This window comes from Homo sapiens, chromosome 12 (assembly GCF_000001405.40).
Source record: "Homo sapiens chromosome 12, GRCh38.p14 Primary Assembly".
In the NCBI taxonomy this organism is placed as follows: Eukaryota; Metazoa; Chordata; class Mammalia; order Primates; family Hominidae; genus Homo; species Homo sapiens.
The window spans coordinates 47,267,202-47,291,648 of NC_000012.12; the positions used below are offsets into that span (position 1 = coordinate 47,267,202).

The following is a 24,447-nucleotide window of genomic DNA, read 5'->3' on the forward strand; positions in this document are numbered from 1 at the left end:
CATTAATTTTGGTTAAAGCATCTGGCCATTGAGAATAATATTCTAGCTCAATGGCACCACTGTAGTCCTGTTAGGTGAGACAGAGTGCAGTTGGGAAGTAAGCAATAAGCAGGGCTGATCCATGGACACATGTGGGATCAACTGGCGAGTCCCAGAAATTGCTAAGGAGGGAAGCATTGTCTCACCAGCTCAGTCCACACACCCCTACCTTTAGGCCTTCTCTGTTACTATAGCATATTTAAAAAATCATAAATCCAGTTCCGAAAGAATTGATGAATAATGTTAAAGTCTCTGAAGGAGGGAGCCACAATAAATGGCACTCTTCTTGCTCACTTGCATCCTGAACAAGTTGAAGAAATAAAACAAAGGTAGAGCAAATGGGGATCACCTTTGTTACCGGCAGAGGCCAGGCTAGAAGACTAGGTTTTAGGTCTGGTGGTCAAGTGGGCTAAAATCAGACAGACTTGCCCATAGTCAGGCATTTGCTAGGCTAGAGCAGGCCTGCCCAGGCAAGACTTGCAATACAGAGAGATACTGTGCATTCTTGGAATGCCCACTCCTAATAGGAAGCAGCAAAGCTGACCCAACATGCTCAGCGATTCTTCCAAAATTACCATCCAATTACTCACTCCAGAGCCCTAGGGGTGGGATGAATAAAAGGGCTAAGGGAAACAAAACATGTGCTTGGAGAACTCCCTCGTTATAGAAACCAGGAGAGGAAAAAAGGTACGTCTCCTCTGTATTGATCAGGGTCCCATCAGGTTATTAAATAGAAGATATTAAATACGAAGAATTAATTATAAAGGTGTTAGAGGAGCTAAAATAGTCACTAGGGTAGATGAGGCATCCCAAAGATTAGCAAGTGGGAAGCCACCACCCACCCTTAAGACTGGAGAGACAAAGGAAGGATCTGGGGGTCCCTTGATAGACACTAGCATTATAACAGAAATATTCAGGCAAGAGCTGGAGCCACAGAGGAGGGCAGCTACTGCCAGATATGCCTCCCATGGCAGAAAAAGAGGACAAGAAATACTTTGGCTTCCCCTTTCCTCCCAACCTCCAATCTCCAACAGTACCTCTCGCTGGTTAAGTGAGGCTAAAACAGGTGGTCAAGAGAGCCTGGGTATCATAGCTTGCAACAGTCAGACATACAGAGCAGACACAAAGGATGGATCTGGAGGCAAACAGTCAAATAACCAGCACAACATTTAACCAGGCAGAGTTTTGTTGCAATTTTGTTTGTAGACGAAAGAGAAATTTACATATCATACACCCAAACCTTTCTAAATGTCTCATCACCACTTTTTGAAATTTCTCTCCTGCAGCAGCTGCTATGTCGTTTTGTTTGTTTGTTTTATTTTTTTGCGATGGAGTTTCACTCTTGTCGCCCAAGCTGGAGTGCAATGGCGCAATCTTGGCTCACTGCAACCTCTTCCTGTCTCAGCCTCCCAAGTAGCTGGGTTTACAGGCGCCCGCCGCCACGCCCAGCTAGTTTTTTTGTATTTTTAGTAGATACGGGGTTTCACCATGTTGGCCAGGCTGGTCTCGGACTGCTGATCTCAGGTGATCCACCTGCCTTGGCCTCGCAAAGTGCTGGGATTACAGTCATGAGCTACCGTGCCTGGCCAGCAGCTGCTATGTCTTGCTCCATCTTTCTTCCCCACCTCAGCTCTGTCTCCATTCCACTGGCTCTCTTCTGCTCCCACCATTCTCTGAATCCCCTCAACAAAAGCCTTGTCCAAAAGCCTGGGGAACTACAGTTTACTCCCTCCTCACCCTCTCTATCAACAATGACTCTCCTAGGGACTCCCTCGGTGACCACTCAGAGCTTTGAGATTAGGTAAACAGTGTTAATATGACCAACTTGGAACTTGCAGCTTAGTCAAGCCTGAGACAGTCAAGTTACCCAGATAAGGATAGACCATGCACCTACTTAAAATAACAGCATCAACAGGAGTTCTTCTGCTTCCCTTCCTGTTTCAAATTATAGCAATTGACCACTTAGTTACATTGGTTAATGCCCAAGACAAAAATGCAGCCCATCTCTTCCCCACCTGGCCTGCATATATGTTCATTTTGCATTTAGCAGAACTGAAAGGACTTCTTTCTGTTTTATTTTCTTGTAACCACAGAATTTAAATATCTACTGTTTTGTTTGTGGGCTCACAAAGAGGGTGAAAATCATTGCTATTTTATTTCAAACAAAATAAAAGATTACAGTCTTCCAATTAGAATAGGACTTAAAACATAGTAAGAATTTAAAAGCCATGTGCTGATTCATGGGAAAACATTAAGACACAGATGGGTTACACGATTTACTCAAGGTCATACCACTGAAGCAATGACTTTATTATCAGAACTATAAAGAACAACACAAATATTTACATGATTAATATTTTGTTGATAGTAATGGGGCTAGAATTAGAATATGGATTTTACGCTGCTCCAATCCCTGTCTGCTAACTCTGTTAGACTGTGTTTCCTACACACTGGAATTGCAGGATAGTTGCTGGATGTTCAGGCTGTGTGGTCGTGTAGGCATGGGTACAAATCCCAGCTCTGCCACCTGTTAGCTACGTGACCTTGGACCAGCCCCTTAACATCCCTTAGTTTTGTTTTTGGATCTAAAAAATGGGGTATGTACCTTCCGCACTAAGAGGGATAAGGGTTCAGTGAGATGATGTATGTTGTTGGGGAGGAAAAATTTTTCCTCTACTCTCTTCTTTTGCTGGGGGCGTGCAAATTAACCTAACAAAAGACAGACTAACAAAAGAGCAGACACAAAATTTTTATTAATATTTACATGCACAGGAGTTCACAAAAAAGGAGTGAAACTCAAAGAAGTGGTTAGACTCTGGTGATGGGTTGTTCTTCCCTTACTGGCACAGAGGAAACACCTTCACAAAGGCAAATTTGTGCCCTGCTTTTAGTCAGATAAGGGGAGAGGAAAGAACTCTTTCTGCATCTGTTGATTCTCAATTGCTTCCAGCTGAAAATAATCCTTACACTAAAGTGGCATATTTTGGGGTGGCATATTCTGATCCCCTTCCATGTAAAGTGCCTCAGCACCAGGTCTGATTAAAGTTAAGTGCTAAATAGCCCACTATCATTAGAAAAGTCTGTGTCCCCACCTTGTAGTAATAAAGCTCAGACACAACAGGATGTCATAGGAAGGGAATGAGGCATGTTTTTCTTTTCTCCAGTTTTTCTGCCTGGGCTTCCCTGCAAGTAAGATTATCTACATTTAAAACATATTTGATCGGCCAGGCGCGGTGGCTCACGCCTGTAATCCCAGCACTTTGGGAGGCCCAGGCGGGCAGATCACGAGGTCAGGAGATCGAGAACATCCTGGCTAACACAGTGAAACCCCATTTCTACTAAAAATACAAAAACAAAATTAGCCAAGCGTGGTGGCGGGTGCCTGTAATCCCAGCTACTCGGGAGGCTGAGGAGGGAGAATGGCGTGAACCCGGGAGGCAGAGCTTGCAATGAGCCAAGATCACGCACTGCACTCCAGCCTGGGCGACAGAGCGAGACTCCGTCTCAAACAAACAAACAAACAAAACAAAACATATTTGATTCACCTTAAATGGCTACTCATATCTGTCCTTTCCTCTGCAATGCTCTGCCTTGATCCTGGTCCAGGTTTATCTGGCATAGACTGCCCTCTGTCCAGCTCCTGTCTACCCCTCCTGGATCACAAACCAGAGAAAATGCAGAATCTTTCATGGGCTCCCTACTGCCTTCAGTGTGAAGCTCAAGTGCAAAGCCCAGCACCATCTATTCTGTACCTAACTTCTTAGTCTGAATCTCTTCACCTCTTTTCCCCAACCCCGAACTAATGGCTACCACTGACTCAGGGGAGCCTTCTCCTGCCTTCATGCCTTTGAATGGGGGGTATCGCTGCATGAAGCTCCTCTCTCCCCTTTACCCACTCAAGAGTCACTTACTCTTGGTAATATTTCTCAGTTGCCCTGCTTCACCCCTATTCTCTCATCCTGGCCAAGTTAGATGCCCTTCTGAGTCCCCTCTTCTCTACAGAATTTTAATTGTGCATTTTCTTCTTTGTCTCTGCCTTTAAGTTATGAACACTTTGAAGAAAGGACCATATTTAGTTCATCTCAGAATCCCAGTGCCCAGCACAGACCTGGCATAGGGTAGGCACTCCTTAAATACTTACTGAATGAATTATGCCATTTAGTCTGTCTGTGGTGGCACTGGAAACCCACAAGAATTTAACAGCCTCGTCTCTGTCTGAAGTTCAGGGCTTCTGTAAAGAATACGTGATGGAAAGAGGAGGTGACTAATAGTGATTCTGCAAAAATATGTAGGTAAAAGGAATGGCTGTAAATTAATGATGAAATAACCTTCCTAAGTTTCCTTGTGGAAGATATATGTTAATTCCCCAAATGTATGAGCATCTGTGTATTTTTGTGGGGAATATACAGTGTCTTTTCTAACACTGAGATGCTTGAAATGGGGTTATTTCCCTTCCAAATGAAAACCAATTAAATAAATTATATTTTTTCTGTGGTGCTTACAAAGTGTGGGAGTTGTCACCAAACATTACTAAATGTTCTAATTTAGTCATAAAAGGGCTGAAAGATGTAGCATAATTATAAGTCCAAAGTAAGTTGTTCTAAATATTTTATCATGTTCAGCATATGCTGTTAAAAAAAACCTCAGACTATAATTGTCAACATTCGATTCACAAAAAGTAAACAACAGCTGAGTATAATGGGATGATAAAGAATCTCTCCATAATTCCCGACATATGGCAAAGAGTATGTCCATTTTGAAGTGGAAGATGGTCATGTTTATCAACTGAGCCATTTTCTTTGTTTGAATCCTTCTAATCAGAAAAGTTCCCTAGAAACACTAGGAGCATTTTCCTGAGCAGATGAGGGAAATGAAAAAAAGCTGTATGGCACAGTTAGATCTCAGGCAGGAGGAATTTAGAACTCACAATGGCAATTGAAAGAGGCTGGGTAAAGAAGGCCATATATTTCTGTAAAAGCAGTCATTCCAGGGTTAGTATACATGAAAAACAAGTGCGTGCTTCGTGGGGAATGTATGGAGAAATTTCTACGTATCAGTCGTTTCTGTGAACAAGCTCTGATGGACCCAGCCAGTGTCACATCCTGCCATCATGTAGATTCATTTTAAATGCACGGACACTTAATCGTTTCTAGGGAAAGCCAGTGGGAAGCTGCTTGAAATTTCTTTTTCTTTATAAGATGTTTTGCACATGGGGGCTTTCAGCTCAAAGGAGATACTTACAAACCATTTATCTTCAGAGTGAAGCAGTAGAAGTGGGAGAGGCATCCAGGCACTGTTCTAACCAGATACTTCAAAGCTGCCCAGAAGAGAAAGGCAAAGGCAATTGCCAAAGAACAGGCTCTGCTCTTTGGCTGGCAGAGATAAGGAGCAGATACCCAGCACTGAGACAGAGGATTCTGTGAAGAAAATGCTGAGTAACAAGATTGTCCTTTTGTTTTTCTTCATGAATAATAACCGTCCACCCTAAATCCTTTTGGGAATGAACAGGGGGCTTTGGGAGCTGGTATTGAATGAATAAATTAGCAAATCATTGAACTAATTAATTAATTAATAACCACACCTAGGCAGAGAGAAATAAACAAGAGTGCTCACTGAGAACTCTCTGAGGAGGAAAGGACCTCTATATGGTCCAATGTAGTGAAAAATCTAGCAATTTGGAGATAGGACTGCTTTCTGAGCTTCAGTTTCCTGGGAGTGTTGTGAATATGTTTTGCAACTCCAAAATGCCATCAAACGTACATCATTCTGCTTGTCTTCTTGATGAGCTGTTTTTAAACATAATAGCGTTAGAATTAATCAGATTAATCTCACTGAACAAAAATAAAGGCTGCTTTTTCACAGAGCTCTTCATGGTGCCAGCCAGTGTATCTTTCTGTGCACAGTGATTCTTTCTATATAGAGACTCTCTGTTAAGCTCAAAAGGAGCTCCAAGGAGAAGCCCCATAAAGACAGCACAATCAACAGGTACACATGCTGCTGTTATTCAAGGCTACTCAAAAGAACATAAAACAATTCTGAGAAAAAAAGAGACTTCAGGGAAAAACTCAAGGTTCAGTGTATGACTTCTTGGTGGAAAAGATGGCATCACTGTTGCCTGAGACACAGCAAGATAAGAGTGAGGATTCTGGAGGGAAAACATCCCTAATAATGAGAGGAGAGCCTAGGTGGCTGAGCTGTTTGATTGACATCTCTGTCTGTCGAAAGCCATAACATACTCAGGCTGTCCTCGAGGAGCTGAGAAAAGTGGGGAAGAGAGTGTAAGACTGATCTGCCCTCTGGAATCGCTTTAGACAGGCCGGAGTCACAGGAAGCATGCCAAACCTAGGACAGTACAGGAATGATTGCCAAAGGAAACAGAACAGGTCTTTTTTCAAAGAAAAGAAAAGAACAATAGCAGCCGAAGTAGAAGGAAAAGCCTCAGTGTGCCAGCAGGTAGACATTCTGACCTCTCTTATTATAAAACACACAATAATTTCTTAAATGTTTAATGATGATGGAAGAAAATTGTGTCTTAAAATGAAATGAAGTTGGAGAAAGTAGTATGTCTGGGTCCCCACTCCAAGTCCTTTAATCATGAGAAGTAACTGCATTTCATTATAATGTGCACTATGATGCCACCTGATTCGTGGTGTGGATCCTAAAGGATGATTCTAGTCATTCTCTTTCTTAAACAATTTTTGGTAATTTTGATTCTTTCTCTTTATGATGTTCCTTTTCATCCATTATCTTCTCTTATGGTACTTACCTAATGATTAAATGTTGAGTTAGGAGACGGTAATTAGATTCCATCTCCCATTTTCCTGGTTTAACTTGACCTTTTTCTTGATGAGATATTTTCTTCCATTGGGTATTGGCATTTCGATGCCCCCTAGGCAAGCTATTTTGGATTTCTCCTTGCTGCAGAACTTGAAGGGTTTCAATGTGAAAAATAAGTCTATCTTTTTTTTTTTTTTTTTTTTTTTTTTTTTGAGACGCAGTTTCGCTCTTGCTGTCCAGGCTGGAGTGCAATGGTGTGATCTCGGCTCACCGCAACCTCTGCCTCCTGGGTTCAAGCAATTCTCCTGCCTCAGCCTCCCTAGTAGCTGGGATTATAGGCATGCATCACCACGCCCAGCTAATTTTGTATTTTTAGTAGAGATGGAGTTTCTCCATGTTGGTCAGGCTGGTCTCGAAGTCCCAATCTCAGGTGAACTGCCTGCCTCGGCCTCCCAAAGTTCCGGGATTATAGGCGTGAGCCACCACACCCAGCCTGTCATTTCGTTTTTTAAACCAACAACATTTAAATGGGTTCTGGCCAACTTTCTAGGCAAAGGTACGGAAATATATTGTATATCACATCACAGATGACAAGTGCTTCCAAAGAATATAAATGCTATTTTAGGCTTAGGTTTCTACATTGTCTAAGTTTCCATTACTTAAAGGAGAGACTTTCTTGCAGAAGGTATATTACTTCATACACAAGTTGGGATTTATACTGACTTTCCTAACATATGTATCTGGGAGAAACATTTGTGTGCAGTAGAAATGAAACCAGTCTAATTTTCCCATAGAACTGATGTTTTCAGTCTTTTAAAATAAACATAGAAATTGACCCTCCTGGTCTTAAAGCTTGAAACTTACAATCTGAGTTCCTTTCTCAGGAAATCATCATCAGGCCTTCTCAGATAGTATCAAGGAACTGAAACTCACCAGATCACTGCATCCAGACAATGAGATGCCAGATCCCTCACCCATCATGATTCCCAAACTGACTGCGTGCTTCCTATTGACCATCACCTCTTCCTTACTCCTCCCTGATTTCTGTTTTCCTGCTCATAGTTACATTCCTTCCCTGATATATAAATCCCCAACTTTAGTCAGTTGGAGAGACGGATTTGAGACTTATTTCCCATCTCCCTGGCTCACGTCACCTAAATAAAACCTTTCTTCCCTGGCAATACTCATTGTATCAGTGATTGGCTTTCTGTGTAGCGAGCAATGGGACATAGACTATACCCCTGACATTTTGGTGGCAGAAAGAGTTAATTACTAATCAAGTTTTCTCATTGATTTTTGATAATTTTTTTTAATTTTGTTTTTTGTTTTTCGTTTTTTTTTGAGATGGAGTCTCACTCTGTTGCCTAGTACGATCTCAGTTCACTGTAACCTCTGCTTCCTGGGTTAAAGCAATTCTTCTGCCTCAGCCTCCCTGAGTAGCTGGGATTATAGATGCCCACTACCATGCCTGGCTAATTTTTGTATTTTTAGTGGGGATAGGGTTTCACCATATTGGATAGGCTGGTCTCGAACACTTGAGCTCAAGTGATCCACCCTCCTCAACCTCCCAAAGTGCTAGGATTACAGGCAGGATACAGAGTTCTTGATGGTGTAGTTTGTATTTTTCCAAGGTAGATCTTAAACTGGCAACATAATTACACTTACTCTTGTCTTTTAGGCTAAAAAATAATTGTCAGTACTTGTGGAATGTCAATATTTCTGTGTTGCTTAATTAGATCATAGAGAATGCTCAGTTTCCTGGAGCATGTTTTCTTTTTGTTTGGTTTGTTTTGAGAGAAGGAGATTAGCAGGGTACAGAAAGCCAATTCTCTGAGATTACTGGAAAATAAAGCATTTACATAAATAGTTCCAGAAAGATTTATATGGATCTATTTTCAAAAATTATAGTCTGTAGACTTGCAGGTAAAAAAGCTCCAAGCAGGGAAAATAGGCAGAATTAGTTTCTCAGGAAGAACATGTGTTTGGATGCCTCTTAAATTTATGATTTTAGGATAATCTAATACCACTATAATTATACTACTACTATATATTTTTCTACATGATACTCCGGTTTAGCTCAGCAAGAGTTACAGATGTTTGCTAATTCCTGAAGCATCTGAAACAGGTATTAAGTCATTCACCTACCGATATTTAATGAGCCCTGTCTAGGAGCAAGACATTATGGCAATACGCAGGAGACTTTTTTTTTTTTTTGGAGACAGAGTCTAATTGTGTCACTTAGGCTTAAGTGCAGTGATGCAGTCTCGGCTTACTGCAACCTCCACCTCCATCTCCTGAGTAGCTGGGACTATAGGTGTGCATGACAATGCCCAGCTAATTTTTGTATTTTTAGTAGACACAGGGTTTCGTCAGGCTGCCCAGGCTGGTCACAAACTCCTGGGCTCAAGTGACCCCACCAGCCTCGGCCTCCCAAAGTGCTGGAATTATAGGCGTGAGCCACCATACCCGGCCTGCAAGAGACTTTTAGATGAAATCCTAGTTAATCCTAGTTAAGATCTGGTTAATAGAGTTAAGCACTACCACACAATGTTTACTACATTGTTCAAATATACAACACACATTTGCAAATCTTAAATAAATGAAACCGGAAATAAACTTACTGTGGGTCACTGTGTACCTCAATTTCGTTGTGTGTAATGCTGTGATCCTTCTATCTTTATAGTACCTTTACACACAATGGTGACTCAATAAATGTTTGTTGATGGCAGGCTGAATGAGTGTAGATATGAAGAAAGTAATCCCCACCACCACCCTGCCCTGAAAAACTGATTGCATTATGGTGCTTCTAATTAACTTTTGGTAGATACTAAATGAAAGGGGACCGAACTCTGACCCAAAGTTCATGTTTACAGCTTTGAACAGATTGAGTTTCACTCTTGAAGTGTGTGAACACAAAACAGCAGAACCCAGTGAGACAGGAAGCAGACAATTTTAACCATAGCTACTGCCACTGGAGGGGTGGGGTAGTTTGGGCTTTATTGTGCAAGACAGGAAGTATCCAGAGAGAAGAAGGAAAGGTATGAACTTGTATTGAGTGTTAAGTCTGTGTCAGGCATCAGGCCAGCAGCTTATATAAACCATTGTTGGATCACTCTGCCATTCTGAACTGGAGCCATTTAAAGATAAAAAGGACGACTCTTAGAAGTGTTATAGTTAGATAACTTGCCCAAAAAGTCTCACAGCTCACATTTGGCAGGTTCTGGATTGAAACTCAGACCAGTCTGCTTTGAAGGCCACAGCTTTCCCACTCTGCTCAGCTGTTTCCATTCTGCCTTTTGTAGTAAGAGGACTGACCATTTGAATTAGGTTCTCTTGGTTTTAAGAATAAGACTTAGGTCACCTCAAGTAATGAAGAATGTGCTATGTCCATTCCTTTAGAAAAGAGGAGCCAGTGATCTCAGGCTCATGACAAAGTCTCAGGAAACCCAGGAAAAGCAGAACCACCAGCTTTCAGAAAGGGTAGGAATGTTGTCAGAGCCAGGTCTCAAGGCGACGAATGAGAAAGTTGTTTAGATGCCAAGACAATTCTGGGAGTGCGAGTGTGGGATCTTCTGGGTCTTCTGGAAGGCCACTCACCATTAACATGACCCACTGACCCTCTGCAAGTTTGTTTTTTGGGGCATCTCTGGTTCTCTTTCATCATTGACTGGCTTTCCCACCTTTTTCTCACAATCTTTCTCTTAACGCCTATCCGCCCCTTGATTGTGCTCCCTCTCTACTTTAAGTGACTTATGACCCCTCATGGTCTCCACTCTTCTTCAAGGCTTCTTTCTTTTGCAGTATCTCAACAACTCTCAGTATATACTGCTCCATTTTCTCAGTGTTTCTTAATTCTAGTTCCTGAGAATTAGACTGCTGAAGCCAGCTTTACCTTGTTTGGAAAGGCTTTTCATGCTGGAATATCTCATGGGCTTCTAACAAGCCTAGAGGTCTGGGCTGCCCTGAGTTAGGGGTCCAGCCAGGTTTAGTCACCCCAGGAAAGTTGTGGGTGCACCTAGTTCCTTTAGAAGTGGCTAGGGACTGGGAAGGCACAGTGACTGACATACTGGTAGTGATGGATGAGAATGAAAATTGATCTCCCATAAACATCAGGTCAGCAGCAGAAAGGGGAGGTCACAAAATGGTAGTGGCACAAGCTGGCACTGCATAGAGTGGGAGGAAGATGGCACTAGGAAGAAATGCAAATATTTTTAGTCAAGAATTGGGAGTGACTGGGGAAGGAGCTACAGACCATGAGTCATCCATGAGTCATTCCTTCATAAGAATATGAAGGTTTCTTCACCAGAGACCTCTAGGAATGCTTCCTGTCTCTCCTTTTGTTGTTTCATTAAAATGTGTGCAATCTTACTGAGAATTGGGATTTTTCTCTTATTTCCAGCCTTGATATAGAATTGAGAACGTGACATTAATTATTTTTGTCTCTCAACTAAACTTATTTTTTAAAGATATTTTAATTATATAAATAACATACAAATATATTCTCACTATGAAAAATTCAAATAGTAGAGATAAGTCAAAGTCTACCTTGACTCTGTTTCCCAAAGCCTACCTCTTCTTCCCCAGAGGGTAGTCTATGTATATACAAGGTTCTATTGTATTTTTTATATAAGTAAACGGCCGTATTCAATACTTTGCAATCTAGAACCACTTCAACCAAAGTAGGTGGGTAAGGATTTTCACATCTCAGAAATACCAGCAACCAATTTCCACCCACAGATCCTGAATGCCAATAAAGGCTAGCCAGTTTAAGCAGCAGATTCCAGGTAAGTCGAAAGCCAAAGGGATCATTTGGTCAAAGTAAAGTACAAAGAGGCACAAGGATGATAATGGCCACTTATCTCTGAGTAAAGACAGACAGTCTGTGGCTTGACTCCTACCTGGTTTGGTGCTGTGAACTCTATCCATTTGCCTGAATTGGACCAGTGTAGTTGTCCAGTTCCACTGATGAAAATGGGAGTTCTCTTACTACAAACAACTGTAAAAAGTCCCAGAAGATGACAATGGGTAAGGGAGGACCTAAGCAGACAAAGGAGAGCTTATTCAACACTCCTCCCTCCCCACAAAATTGTTCTTTCCATTCCAGCCTCATCATCTAAAGCTCTTCAGAAAGGCTTGAATCAGAAATTCAATTCTGCATAAAGTCCTCATCAATTTATAATTTTAAAACTTTATGAATTTGAAATAATTAGGGAAAAATTTCTGATTTTAAAAATTCTATTTCCTAAAGTACAGTGTCATTGCTAATTGTATATGGCAACTTGAATTAGTCTAATTGGGGTTATTAGATCTTTTCAAGGGATTGGCAATCAAGGCATCAATTAGTAGTATTTATATGTGAGGCCATGTTTTTAATCTGCTAAAACCTATTTGCTTAATCCAAAATCATTCAAGCACTGATTAAACTTGGATTATAAACCATATATGAGGCCAGGATTCTGCTATTCTATTCCAACATCCCTCCTCTGTCCCCCCACACATGCACTGAGAACATTAACTATATCTCATACATGTATATCTCATACACTTAGTATATCTTATATAATTGCAATAAGTGCATATTGGCTATTGAAAACATATACACAACAAAGCCTTGGAGATGCAGGGGCAGAAAAGACAGGCAAATACTTGCCTATGTCACAGAACTAACATTGGGGTGCTGGTAGAGACAAAGAAATAGCACGTAAACAGGCTGGGTGTGGTGGCTCATGCCTGTAATTCCAGCACTTTGGGAAGCCAAGGCGGGAGGATCACTTGAGGTCAGGAGTTCGAGACCAGCCTGGCCAACATAGCAAAACTCTGTCTCTACTAAAAATACAAAAATTAGCCAAGCGTGGTGGCACATACCTGTAATCCCAGTTACTCAGGAGGCTGAGGCATGAGAATCACTTGAGATCGGGAGGCGGAGTTTGCAGTGAGCTGAGATTGCGTCACTGCACTCCAGCCTGGGTGACAGAGCGAGACTCTCTCTCAAAAAGAAGAAAGAAAGAAATGAAATAACATGTAAACAAATAAAAATTGTTCAGATAGTTATCAATGGGTGAAAAAAATAAAACCAGGTAAAGAGAGAGAATGACTGAGGGTGGGTGTCCAGTATTTTAGCTATGGTGCGCTGGGAAGTCCTATCTCAGGGGCACATTTAATACATGTGAATGTTGAAAAAGAACCAGCCAGGCTAAGATCTATAGTGAGTTGGATAAACTCACTTCTTTTTTTTAGAGGCTCTTTTTTTCTTTTCTTTTTTTTTTTTTTTTTTTGAGACGGAGTCTCACTCTGTTGCCCAGGCTGGAGTGCAGTGGCACAATCTTGGTTCACTGCAAACTCCGCCTCTCAGGTTCAAGCAATTCTCCTGCCTCAGCCTCCCAAGTATCTGGGACTACAGGACGTGCCACCATGCCTGACTAATTTTTATTTTTAGTAGAGACAGGGTTTCACCATGTTGTTCTCAGGCTGGTCTCGAACTCCTGACCTCAGGTGATTCACTCACTTTGGCCTCCCAAAGTGCTGGGATTACAGGCGTGAGCCACCATGCCCGGCCTGAACCTCTCTTCTTATGGTGATCACGAGAGCAGCATTTCCAGTAAGAGAAGGGAAAGCTGTGTCTGATCTTGGGAGGAAGTTGGGTAGGATTTAGGGTGGGAGAATGAAGAAGGAAGGGCAGAGACCAGACTAAAGGATTGTGTAGAGTGGGACAGAGGTGAGGCAAGCGAAGGGAGTTATGCACAAAACTTGCAGAGCCACTCCCTCTCAGGGCCATGCCTGCACAGGGCTGGTGCCCAAGTGTGAATTCTTCCCAAGTGTTTTGCCCTACTTACCTCACCTATTCCTGGCTTTGGGGATTGGCGTGAGGTAGCATGGTCAGAGGATAGCAAGGAGACCCTCTCTGCTAAGGAGAAAAGTAGGCCTGACATCCAGGAGCTGGCCTGGTACTATCAGTAGCCCTCAGTGTTGCCCTGAGCTGGCCTGGAACCAACAGCTAGACTTTGGTGTTCTCTGTGGAAGGGAAACAATTCACAGAACATCAATATCAGACAAGGCCACACCGTGACTACGATGGATCAAGATAAAGGCAAGACCACTTGGCATTCCTGCCTGAACCTGACAAAACATGAGCCTTGTCCAAGCCACAAAATACTAAACATCCTCCCTCTCAGCTAATATGAATGGTAGTTGCTTATTTACTAATTGCAGCTTTAGCTTCCCTCTAGTCTGCCCTCCCTATAAATAACATACTGATCATAGAATTACCCCAGCTTCCTAATAGTAGTCAATGCAGAGCAAAGCCTGGCTTCCTTGGACTCTCCCTCAAATCCTTTTTAGACCCAAAATAGTGGCCCAGCACTGTGGGAGGCCGAGGAGAGTGGATCGCTTCAGCCCAGGAGTTTGAGACCATCCTGGGCAACATGGTGAAACCCCATCTCTACAAAAAATACAAAAATTAGCTGGGTGTGGTGGTATGTACCTTGTAATCTCAGCTACTTGGGAGGCTGAGGTGGGAGGATCACTTGAACCTGGGAGGGCAAGGCTGCAGTGAGCCACGATTGTGCCACTGCACTCCACCCTGGGCAACAGAGCAAGACCCTGTCTCAAAAAAAAATCTTTTTTTTTTTAACACCCTTTTGCTGAGACACCCCAGGGCTCCCCATGGTGTGTGCTTGCCCTGGCTGTGAGTAGTAAACTCAACCTATACAGTGTGTTCCTGGTGGCCTCCAGCTGGAGAGCATTACCACAGGTGAGAATTCATCCTGGCAATGGGTGGAGAGAAATGAGGTTGGGTGGTAAGACTGAGTCAGTTTATGAGCTTGAGCGAATCATCTAAAAGTTACACTGAGGCCATGGAAGGAAACGTGTTGTCAGCTGTCTAGGAGCAAAAACTGACCAGGAGGAGAATTACAGTATTGAAAAATGGTTCTGGCAGTGTTCACAGTTAATGTGTCCATGGGGTGGGTGCCCTGGACTCTTGGCTGCTTTTTTACAGATGAAAAAACTGAAGTAGCAGCTCAGTGACTGCCAAGATCTGCATATTGACTAAGATAAGGCTTCTGAGACTCTCGTTTCTAATGTAGTAGTAGCTCCTAGTCAACCTCCTCCCCCTCCCGCCCTAACCACATGTTGTATTACTAGAAAAATAAAGCCATTTATTGGCTTAAAAATCATTAAATATGAAAATTCCCATGAGAAATTTAATAAATAAAATGATTCGCTCTCTACTTTTGAATTGAATTTTATCATCCATTAAATAAGCAGAGAATGTAGTGTCTTTGCTAAGTTTTCAGTGCTCAGTCTTGTTTTCCCAGGAACATGAACTCCTCTATCCTTCACTATTCCCCAGAGCTCCCACAGAAAGCTCCATGACTCAACACAATTCCTGTTGCATTTCTGCACACAGCTGCCCACCGCAGGCACTGTTGAAACTCCAAGATGTGCAGTGGAAGGACTGGCTAAGAAAACCCGACCCTGATGGAAACGCCTTCCAATGAGTAGAACTGATTCACATTGGATCACTGGACTTTGGGTTGGGATGTCCAAAAGAAGGACTGATTTCAAAGTAAAATAAATGTTCCAAGACTAGGTCACAAAGAAAAGCTTCTCAGCCTTGAAGAAGACAAGGCATAGGCCCGCGTCCCAGGCTCTGAGAGAGAAACGTCTCATTTCCTTTGCTTGCAAGTCTGTGTGCCATCTCTCAACTTCTGCCCTTGGGTTATCTGTCTGTGTATTTTCTTCACCCTTCTAGATTGCCAGCTCCCTGAATGGAGATCACATTGTTGCCTTTGCATTCACCACAATGTTAGTCCAGTGCCTGCCACTAACCAGGTCTTCCCTGCTTATTAATTGACCAACAGACTTTGTATTGAAAACACACTGAAAAAGCATTTCAAAAATAGTTGACTTTCTCTGACGGGAGTTTTGCTAACTGGGAAGGTGATGTAGGGTAACTTCTCAGCAGGGTGTAAATTTTGAGTGCTAGGGAAAGAGCAGCATGATTGGAAGAGAGGCACATTTCACTAGGATACACTCTGTTATCTTTGTTTTACATTTAAATGGGTCTACATGAAATTTGGATGACACATTAAGGGTAATTTCCCCAGCGTGATTTGGATTGCTGATTAGAGAATCAAGGCCTCCTGGAGTATTCTGTTTGTGTTACTGATTGGTTAAGGGCTGTTTCCCAAGTGTGGGGTGAGTTCCGTTTTCCCCTGGAGAATTAAAGAGCAGCACCCTTCAGGCACAGCCAAAGTGAACTCTCTTCAAAAAGTCTAAGCCTGGCCAGGCGTGGTGGCTCATGCCTGTAATCTCAGCATGTTGGGAGTCCGAGGCAGGCAGACCACCTGAGGTTAGGAGTTCGAGACCAGCCTGGCTAACATGGTGAAACCCCATCTGTACTGAAAATACAAAAATTAGCCAGGTGTGGTGGCGGGTGCCTGTAATCCCAGCTACTCGGGAGGTTGAGGCAGGAGAATCACTTGAACCTGGGAAGCAGAGGTTGCAGTGAGCCAAGATTGCACCACTGCACTCCAGCCCGGGCGACACAGTGAGACTCAGTCTCAAAAAACAACAAAAAAGCCTCTGAGCTGAAGCCCTTTTCTCTTTCTAATTATGCAGGAAGCAAAGAAATGTTACTATGTGGTGAAGAATTAACCTTCTTCAAAATAAGCCCGCCTTTTGTCCTTGGCTTCTGGAACGTAATCTCTACTGTCTTTCTTAGCCCGAGGGATGGGGGTCACAGTGGATTGTCAGTGCAATTTAAGGTGGGGACTGGCCACTCCCATGTAGCCATAGGGTTGGAGCTGAAAGACCAACAATGTGACTTTGGGTGGAGGCTTTGGGTCACCCAGTATCGGTGGCCTGGAGACTAAGATCAACCATGTGGCCAGTCAATCATTTATGCCCACGAAATGGAGCTCCAACAAAAACTGAACCCTGAGGCTTAGGTGAGCTCTCTTGGTTGGTGATTCTCTCTTGGTTGCTGTATTGTCACACATGGATGCCACCGTGTATCCTTACTTTGTGGGGAAAAGACAACAGGAGCTCTGCATTTGGAACCCTTCTGGACTCTGCCCTATGTGTCTCTTTTTGGCTAAGCTTAACCTGTAACCTTTCCTTATAATAAACCATAAATGTGACTATAACAGCTTTTGGTGAGTCCCATGTTTCTAGGGAATACCAAATCAAAGAGTGATTTTGGGAACCCTCTAAAATTGCAGTTGTCCTGCATTTATGGACAGAACCAATATACATCTTACTTGTATTGATTAATGTCCTATGTCTCCTTGAAATGTATAAAACCAAGCTATAACCCAGCCACTTTGAGCACATGTTCTCAGGATCTCCTGAGGGCTGTGTCATGGGCCATTGGTCACTTATATGTGGCTCAGAATAAATCTCTTCAACTATTTTATGAAGTTTCACTCTTTTCATCAACACCCAAAAGAAAATACATTGTTCTATCAAAAAGATACATGCATGCATATGTTCATTGCAGCACTATTCACAATAACAAAGACATGGAATCAACCTAGGTGCCCATCAACAGTGGACTGAATAAAGAAAATGTGGTACACGTATACCATTGAATACTATGCAGCCACAAAAAGAACAAAATTATATTCTTTTGTTGCAGCTGGAGGCCATTATCCTAAGCAAATTAACACAGAAACAGAAAACCAAATACTACATGTTCTATAAGTAGGAGCTAAACATTAAGTACTCATGGGCATAAAGATGGCAGCAATACACACTAGGGACTACTAGAGGGGGTGGAGATGGAAGTGGGAAAGCTTGAGAAACTATTGGATAATATGCTTACTACCTGGGTTCTGGGATCAACAGCACCCCAAAAGCCTTAGCATTATGCAACAAATCTGTACATGTACCCTCTGAATCTAAAATAAAGGTTGAAATTGTATTTAAAAAGTCCATGTGGAAAGTTTAGATTAATACATCTATCTTAAACTTTTAAAACTTGGCAGAATATCTCAAAATTTTGTCTGTGCTTGTATCGAGCAAATATACGGGAAGTATCAGGGAAAGGGAAGGAATGGTAGGGATGGTCGTAACACACACAGCGTATTATATAGCTGCAATAATTAAATCAACAAGGGGCAAGTGCAAGCCTAGTCACATAGATGGAGCAGACAGCTCAGAAACAGATCACAGAATTTGTTCTAGGAAAAAGGAGGCATCACACATCAAAGGGGGAGAAACCTTACTCAATAAATGGTGCTGGGATAAATGGTAAATTATTTGAGGGAAAAATATTTAGATCCTTACCTTATGCTCTACACCAAAATAAGTTCTACATAAATGAATTTAATTCAACTTATGGAAAACCTTGCTTCCTCATTCACTGAGAAAACTGAAGCAATTTTCAAACACCCACCACCCTCTCTACTTAGCAAACAGCGTTTATGCCCCTACATTCTGCCTTCCTTCTCATTATTTTAGACAAACTGTTTTTGCTCCTAAGGCCAATTCCTTCATATCATCCCTCAAGCACCTCTGCGCAATAGAAGCAGAACATGAGTCACAAATGGAGCCTTACATTTTCTAGTACCCAGCGGTGGCTCACTCCTGTAATCTTAGCACTTTGGGAGGCCAAGGTGGGCAGATGCTTGAGCCAGGAGTTCAAGGCCAGCATAGGCAACATGGTGAAACTTCTTGTCTCTCCAAAAAAAAAAAAAAAAAAAAATTTAGCCAAGCATGGAAGCGCCTGCCTGTACTCCCAACTACTCTGGAGGCTGAGTTGGGAGGATCAGGTGGGAGGAAAGCTTGATCCCAGGAGGCAGAGGTTGCAGTGAGCCGAGATAGTGCCACTGCACCACAGCCTGGGTGAAAAAGTGAGACTCTGCCTCAAAAAAGAAAAAAAAAAAAAATTCGACTGGGCACAGTGGCTCATACCTGTAATGCCAGCACTTTAGGAGGCCAAGGAGGGCAGATCACCTGAGGTCAGGAGTTCAAGACCAGCCTGGCCAACATGGTGAAACCCTGTCTCTACTAAAAATACAAAACTTAGCTGGGCGTGGTGGTGCAAAAGTAGCTGTAATCCCAGCTACTTGGGGAGGCTGAGGCACAAGAATCAGTTGAACCTGGGAGGTGGAGGTTGCAGTGAGCTGAGATTGCACCACTGCACTCCAGCCTGGGTGACAGAGTGGATTCTGTCTTTAAAAAAAAAAAAAAAGATTAAAAAAATAATAATTCTAGTATCCATATTAAAAAAGGTAAAAAGAAACAGGTAAAAATAATTTTAATATCTTTTGTTTAACTCAACGTATCAAAAATATTATCATTTCAACATGTAATTAACAAAAATTATTCATAAGATATTTTACACACTTTTTTTCCTCATACTTTTTTAAATCTGGTCTGTGTTTTATACTTGCAGCACGTCTCAATTTGGACTCACCACATTTCAAGGCTTAGAACCCATACGTGGTTCCTCACTTCCATATTGGACAGCACAGCCCCAGATCCTATGCCTTCTTTCCTACATGGGACATCACTTATTTCCTGTACCTTCTACAGGGATCAATTTTCACCTCTCTCCTAACTCAGTCCCTTTTTCAAAAAAATATGCTGTTATTTTTTCCACTTTAAAATCACCCTCTCTTGACTCCACTAATTCCTCCAGAAACTCTAGTTTGCTCTTTTTTAAAGCAAAATCATATTGTTTTGCCACAGTCACTGTTTACAATTCCTTTCTTCATGGGGCAGGAGAATAGGGAATTAGGCTAACCAACGGTTAAGGAATAATCAAAAGAACAGCAGGTGCAGCCAGTTCTAGGCAAGATTAAGCAGCACAAAGGGCACATTTTCACTCCTGTGATAACAAGACAGAAGTTTTCACTTCAGCCTTTGATTGGTCATGGACTAATCCTTCATAGCGTGTATCCAATTGAAGGCCTCTAAAGGGCACCTAGGGGTGTTACCAAAGTCTTTTAACTTAATAAGAACCCTAAAGAACATTGTAATTGGGGCTCTTGAACTGCCTGCTTGAGCCCACTCCCATTCTGTGAAGTGTACTTTCGCTTCAATAAATCTGCGCTTTTGTTGCTTCTTTTGTTGCTTCATTATTTAATTGCTTTATTTGTGCATTTTGTCTAAAAAGACTTTTTTCATTTGACTTCTAGGATATCATGTCTTGTGCTTTATCCTCCTGCCTCATTGGTGACTTTTCTTACTGGTTCCTCCTCATCTTCCCAGACTCTTTTTTTTTTTTTTTTTTTTTTTTTTTAAGATGGAGTCTCTATCTGTCACCCAGGCTGGAGTGCAATGGCGAGATCTCGGCTTACTGCAATCTCTGTCTCTCAGGTTCACGCCATTCTCCTGCCTCGGCCTCCTGAGTAGCTGGGACTACAGGCACCCGCCAGCATGCCCGGCTAATTTTTGTGTATTTTTAGTACAGACAGGGTTTCACCGTGTTAGCCAGGATGGCCTCGATCTCCTGACCTCGTGATTCGCCCACCTCGGCCTCCCAAAGTGCTGGGATTACAGGCGCGAGCCACCGTGCCCGGCCCTTCCCAAAATCTTAATACAGAGGGCTCCAGGGTTCAGTTCTTGGTTCTCTTCCCTTCCCTATTCCTCTTCTTCCAAATTTTAAAAATTTGCTTGAGATTTAATTTCATGGCTTTAAATACTATTTATAAGGTTCCAATTCACAAATTTATATCTCCAATCCAGCCAGAACTTTTGCCCAAACCTCACCCTCATATTTTCAATTGTTTACTTATGTCAGTTTCCTAGGGCCACCATAACAAATTACCACAAACTTGGTGGCTTAAAACAGAGATTTGCTCTTTTACAGTGCAGAAGTCCAGAAATCCAAAAATCAGGGTGTCATCAGGGCTGGTTATTTACAGAGGCTCTGAGAGAGAAGCTATCCCATACCTCCCCTCTAGTTTCTGGTGGTTGCTAGCAATCTTTGGCATTGCTTGATTAGAGAACTCATGACTCCAATTTCTGCCTTCATCCTTACATGGAGTTCTCCCCTGTGTGTCTCTGTGGATTCACATAGTCTTCTTATAAGGACACAAATGGGCTGAGCGCAGTGGCTCATGCCTGTATTCCCAGCACTTTGGGAGGCCAAGGCAGGTGGATCACCTGAGGTCAGGAGTTCAAGACCAGCCTGACCAACATGGTGAAACCCCATCCATACTAAAAATACGAAAAATTAGCTGGTGTGGTGGCGGACGCCTGTAATCCCAGGTACTTGGGAGGCTGAGGCAGGAGAATCGCTTGAACCCAGGAAGCAGAGGTTGCAGTGAGCCTAGATCGCGCCACTGTACTCCAGCCTGGTCGACAAGAGCAAAACTCTGTCTCAAAAAAAAAAAGACAAATCATTGGATTTAGGGACTAATCTGGTATGACTTCTTATTTTAACCTATTACATCTGCAAAGACCTAAGTGGATATGAATTTTGGGACAACACTATTTAACTTAGTACACTACTCAACATTGTATTTAACTGTCAAATAGGCATCTCAACTTAACAGGTCAAAAACTGATCTAATCTAATTCATCTCCTCTGTACTCATTTTCTTCTTCATTTCAGTATTTAGCTGATGACAACTCCATCCTTCCATCAGGAAATTCTGTTGTCTCTCCCTTCAACATATACGTGAAATCTGACCACTTCCCACCACCTCCACAGTTGCACAGTGGTACCCACCATCATATCTCACATGGATTATTGTAATAGCCTCTTAACAGGTCACTCTACCCTTGTTTTCCTACATTCTACTTTCTTTTCTCTTCTTTTCTTTTTTTTTTTTTTTTTAAGACAAGGTGTTGCTCTGTTGCCCAGGCTGGACTGCAGTGGTACAATCTTAGTTCACCGCAGCCTGGAACTCCAGGGCTCAAGTGATCCTCCTGCCTCAGCCTCCTGAATAGCTAGGGCTACAGGCACTTGCCACCGGGCCTGGCCAATTTTAAAAATAGTTTTGTAGAGATGAGGACTCGCTATGTCTCTACAAAATCCCTGGCCTCGAATTCCTGGCCTCAAGCTATCCTCCTGCCCTGGCCTCCCAAGGTGCTGGAATTACTGGTGTAAGCCACCTTGCCCACCTTGCCCAACGCTACATTGTATCTTCAAAAGAGTAGCCAGAGTGATCCTGTCAAAATCTGAGTGACATAATTGAGCACTCCAATGGCTCTCATTTTACTCAGAGTGAATGTCAGACTCCTTACAATGTAATACAAAAGACCTGTCTTATCTTTCTGACCACATCTCTGATTACTCTCCCCTTTGTTGACTCTGCTCCAGACATAGGGGGGATTCCATGCTTTTTCTTGAACATTCCAAAGATACTCTCCGTACTCAAAGGCTTTGCACATATTGTTCCCTTTTCCTAGAATGCTCTTCCCCAAAGTAATTATGTGGCTTACTCTCTCATCTCCTTTAAACCTTCTTCAAATGCCATCTCCTCAAATTAGGTAAATGAGGTTGACTCTTGCCCCCTTTTTTTTTATATAGTGAACCCCATATTGGAGCACCACTTTGTTCATAATTGCAACAAGCCACCACCTCTCCGCTCCTGTCCTGGCACTGGTGATGTCCATAACCCTGCACTAGTTTTTTTTGGGGGGGGTTGTTTCTTTTGAGATGGACTCTCATTCTGTCTCCCCAGGCTGGGGTGCAGTGGCTCAATCTCAGCTCACTGCAACCTCTGCCCGCTGGGTTCAAGCGATCCTCACACTTCAACCTCCCAAGTAGCTGGAACCACAGGCATGCACTTCCATACCAGGCTAATTTTTGTATTTTTCTGTAGAGACGGGGTTTTGCCATGTTGCCCAAACTGGTCTCGAACTCCTGGACTCAAGCGATTCACACACTTCAGCCCCCCAAAGTGCTAGGATTACAGGCATGAGCCACTGTGCCCAGCCCCCCTGTGCTAGATTTTGCACATAGCCCTTATTACCTTTTAATATATGATATAATATAGGTGTGAGTATTATGTTTTTTGTCTCTTTCCTCTTGAAGTAAGTTCCGCAAAGGCAGGATATTTTGTCTGTTTTGTTTTCTGATATGTACCTAGAACAGTGTCTGCACATAGTAGATGTTCTCTCTCTATATATACATATATACACACACACTCTCTCTCTATATATATATAGTCTCTATATATTTACAATGTATATATATTTTTAAATGTATATATACACACACGTTTTAAATATATAAACACGGAGAGAGTATATATGTGTATATATATATATAGAGAGAGAGAGAGTGTATCTACGCACACACACACATACACACTTTTTTTCTTTTAAGAGACAGCATCTTGCTCTGTTGCCCAGTCTGGAGTGCAGTGGCATGATCATGGTTCACTGCAGCCTTAACCTCCTGGGCTCAAGCAGTCCTCCCATTTCAGCCTCCTGAATAGCTAGGACTACAGGCATGTGCCACAATGCTTAGCTAATTTTTAAATGTTTTGTAGAGACAGGGTCTTGCTATAATAGCCCAGGCTCATCTTCAACTCCTGGCCTCAAGTGATCCTCCTGCCTCAGCCCCCCAAAGTAGATGCTTAATATTCATTAAGTAAATGAATGAGATTAATTCAATGAATGAGATGTGTATGGGGAACTACTTTCTAGGCATAGAAAAGATTTTTTTAAAAATCACAAAGAAGGGAATTGTAGATTTATTTATTTTATTTTTCATTTTTTGAGACAGAGTCTGGCTCTGTTGCCCAGGCTGGAGTGCAGTGGTGCGATCTCGGCTCACTGCAAGCTCTGCCTTCGGGTTCAGGCCATTCTTCTGCTGCAGCCTCCCGAGTAGCTGGGACTACAGGCGCCCGCCACCACGCCCGGCTAATTTTTTTATATTTTTAGTAGAGACGGGGTTTCACCGTGTTAGCCAGGATGGTCTTGATCTCCTGACCTCGTGATCCGCCCGCCTCGGCCTCCCAAAGTGCTGGGATTACAGGCGTGAGCCACTGCGCTGGGCTGGGAATTGTAGATTTTTAAAAAGTGGAACCCAATTTATTGCAGGCTTAAAAATTTTTGTGGGTACATAGTAGGTGTATTTACCTTTAACATTTATGGGTTCCATGAGATATTTTGACACAGGCATGCAATGCAATGTGTAATAGTCGCATCAGGGTAAATGGGAGTATCCATCACCTCAAGCATTTATACTTTGTGTTACAAACAATCCAATTACACTCTTAGTTATTTTAAAGTGTACGATTAAATTATTTTTGGCTGCAGTCACTCTGTTGTGCTAGCAAATACTAGGTCTTATTCATTCTGTCTATGTTTTTGTACCCATATAACCCTCCCCACTTCCCCCAAATTCTGGATTTTACTACATACAAATTTAAAACTTGAGCATGCATAACAAAACACAAAGATAGTCTGCTATAGTATATATTTTAGAAAGCCCTCAACTCTCCCCCGAAATAAGGTCTTTTTAAAAATTTAAAATGAACAAATATTTATAAAACTCAAATTTTAAGTCATTTTTCCAACTGTGAAAGAAAAAAGTGTTTTTATGAGCACTTCTGCTGAAGTCTACCTACATGGTTTTGTATTTTCTGCATAGAACCAATGTAAATTAGGATTAATTATAGGATTTTTTGCCACTCTTAGTTTGTTATCCATCCTTGCCTTTCA

The 24,447-nt window shown here is 42.3% G+C and overlaps 3 annotated features.

The window, feature by feature from the left end:
- Positions 1,205–1,254: an enhancer, noted in NCBI's record as "active region_6254". NCBI's record gives its function as "activates an Ori minimal core promoter by ATAC-STARR-seq in GM12878 lymphoblastoid cells {active_cell/tissue: GM12878}" and the evidence as "EXISTENCE:reporter gene assay evidence [ECO:0000049][PMID:35858748]".
- Positions 3,595–4,794: an enhancer, noted in NCBI's record as "MED14-independent group 3 enhancer chr12:47664579-47665778 (GRCh37/hg19 assembly coordinates)". NCBI's record gives its function as "activates an origin of replication core promoter dependent on BRD2, BRD4, P300/CBP and CDK7 cofactors, and independent of MED14, by STARR-seq in HCT116 cells {active_cell/tissue: HCT116}" and the evidence as "EXISTENCE:reporter gene assay evidence [ECO:0000049][PMID:35650434]".
- Positions 13,785–14,079: a silencer, noted in NCBI's record as "tiled region #12453; HepG2 Repressive non-DNase unmatched - State 22:ReprW". NCBI's record gives its function as "represses a minimal TATA promoter and a strong SV40 promoter by Sharpr-MPRA in HepG2 cells {active_cell/tissue: HepG2}" and the evidence as "EXISTENCE:reporter gene assay evidence [ECO:0000049][PMID:27701403]".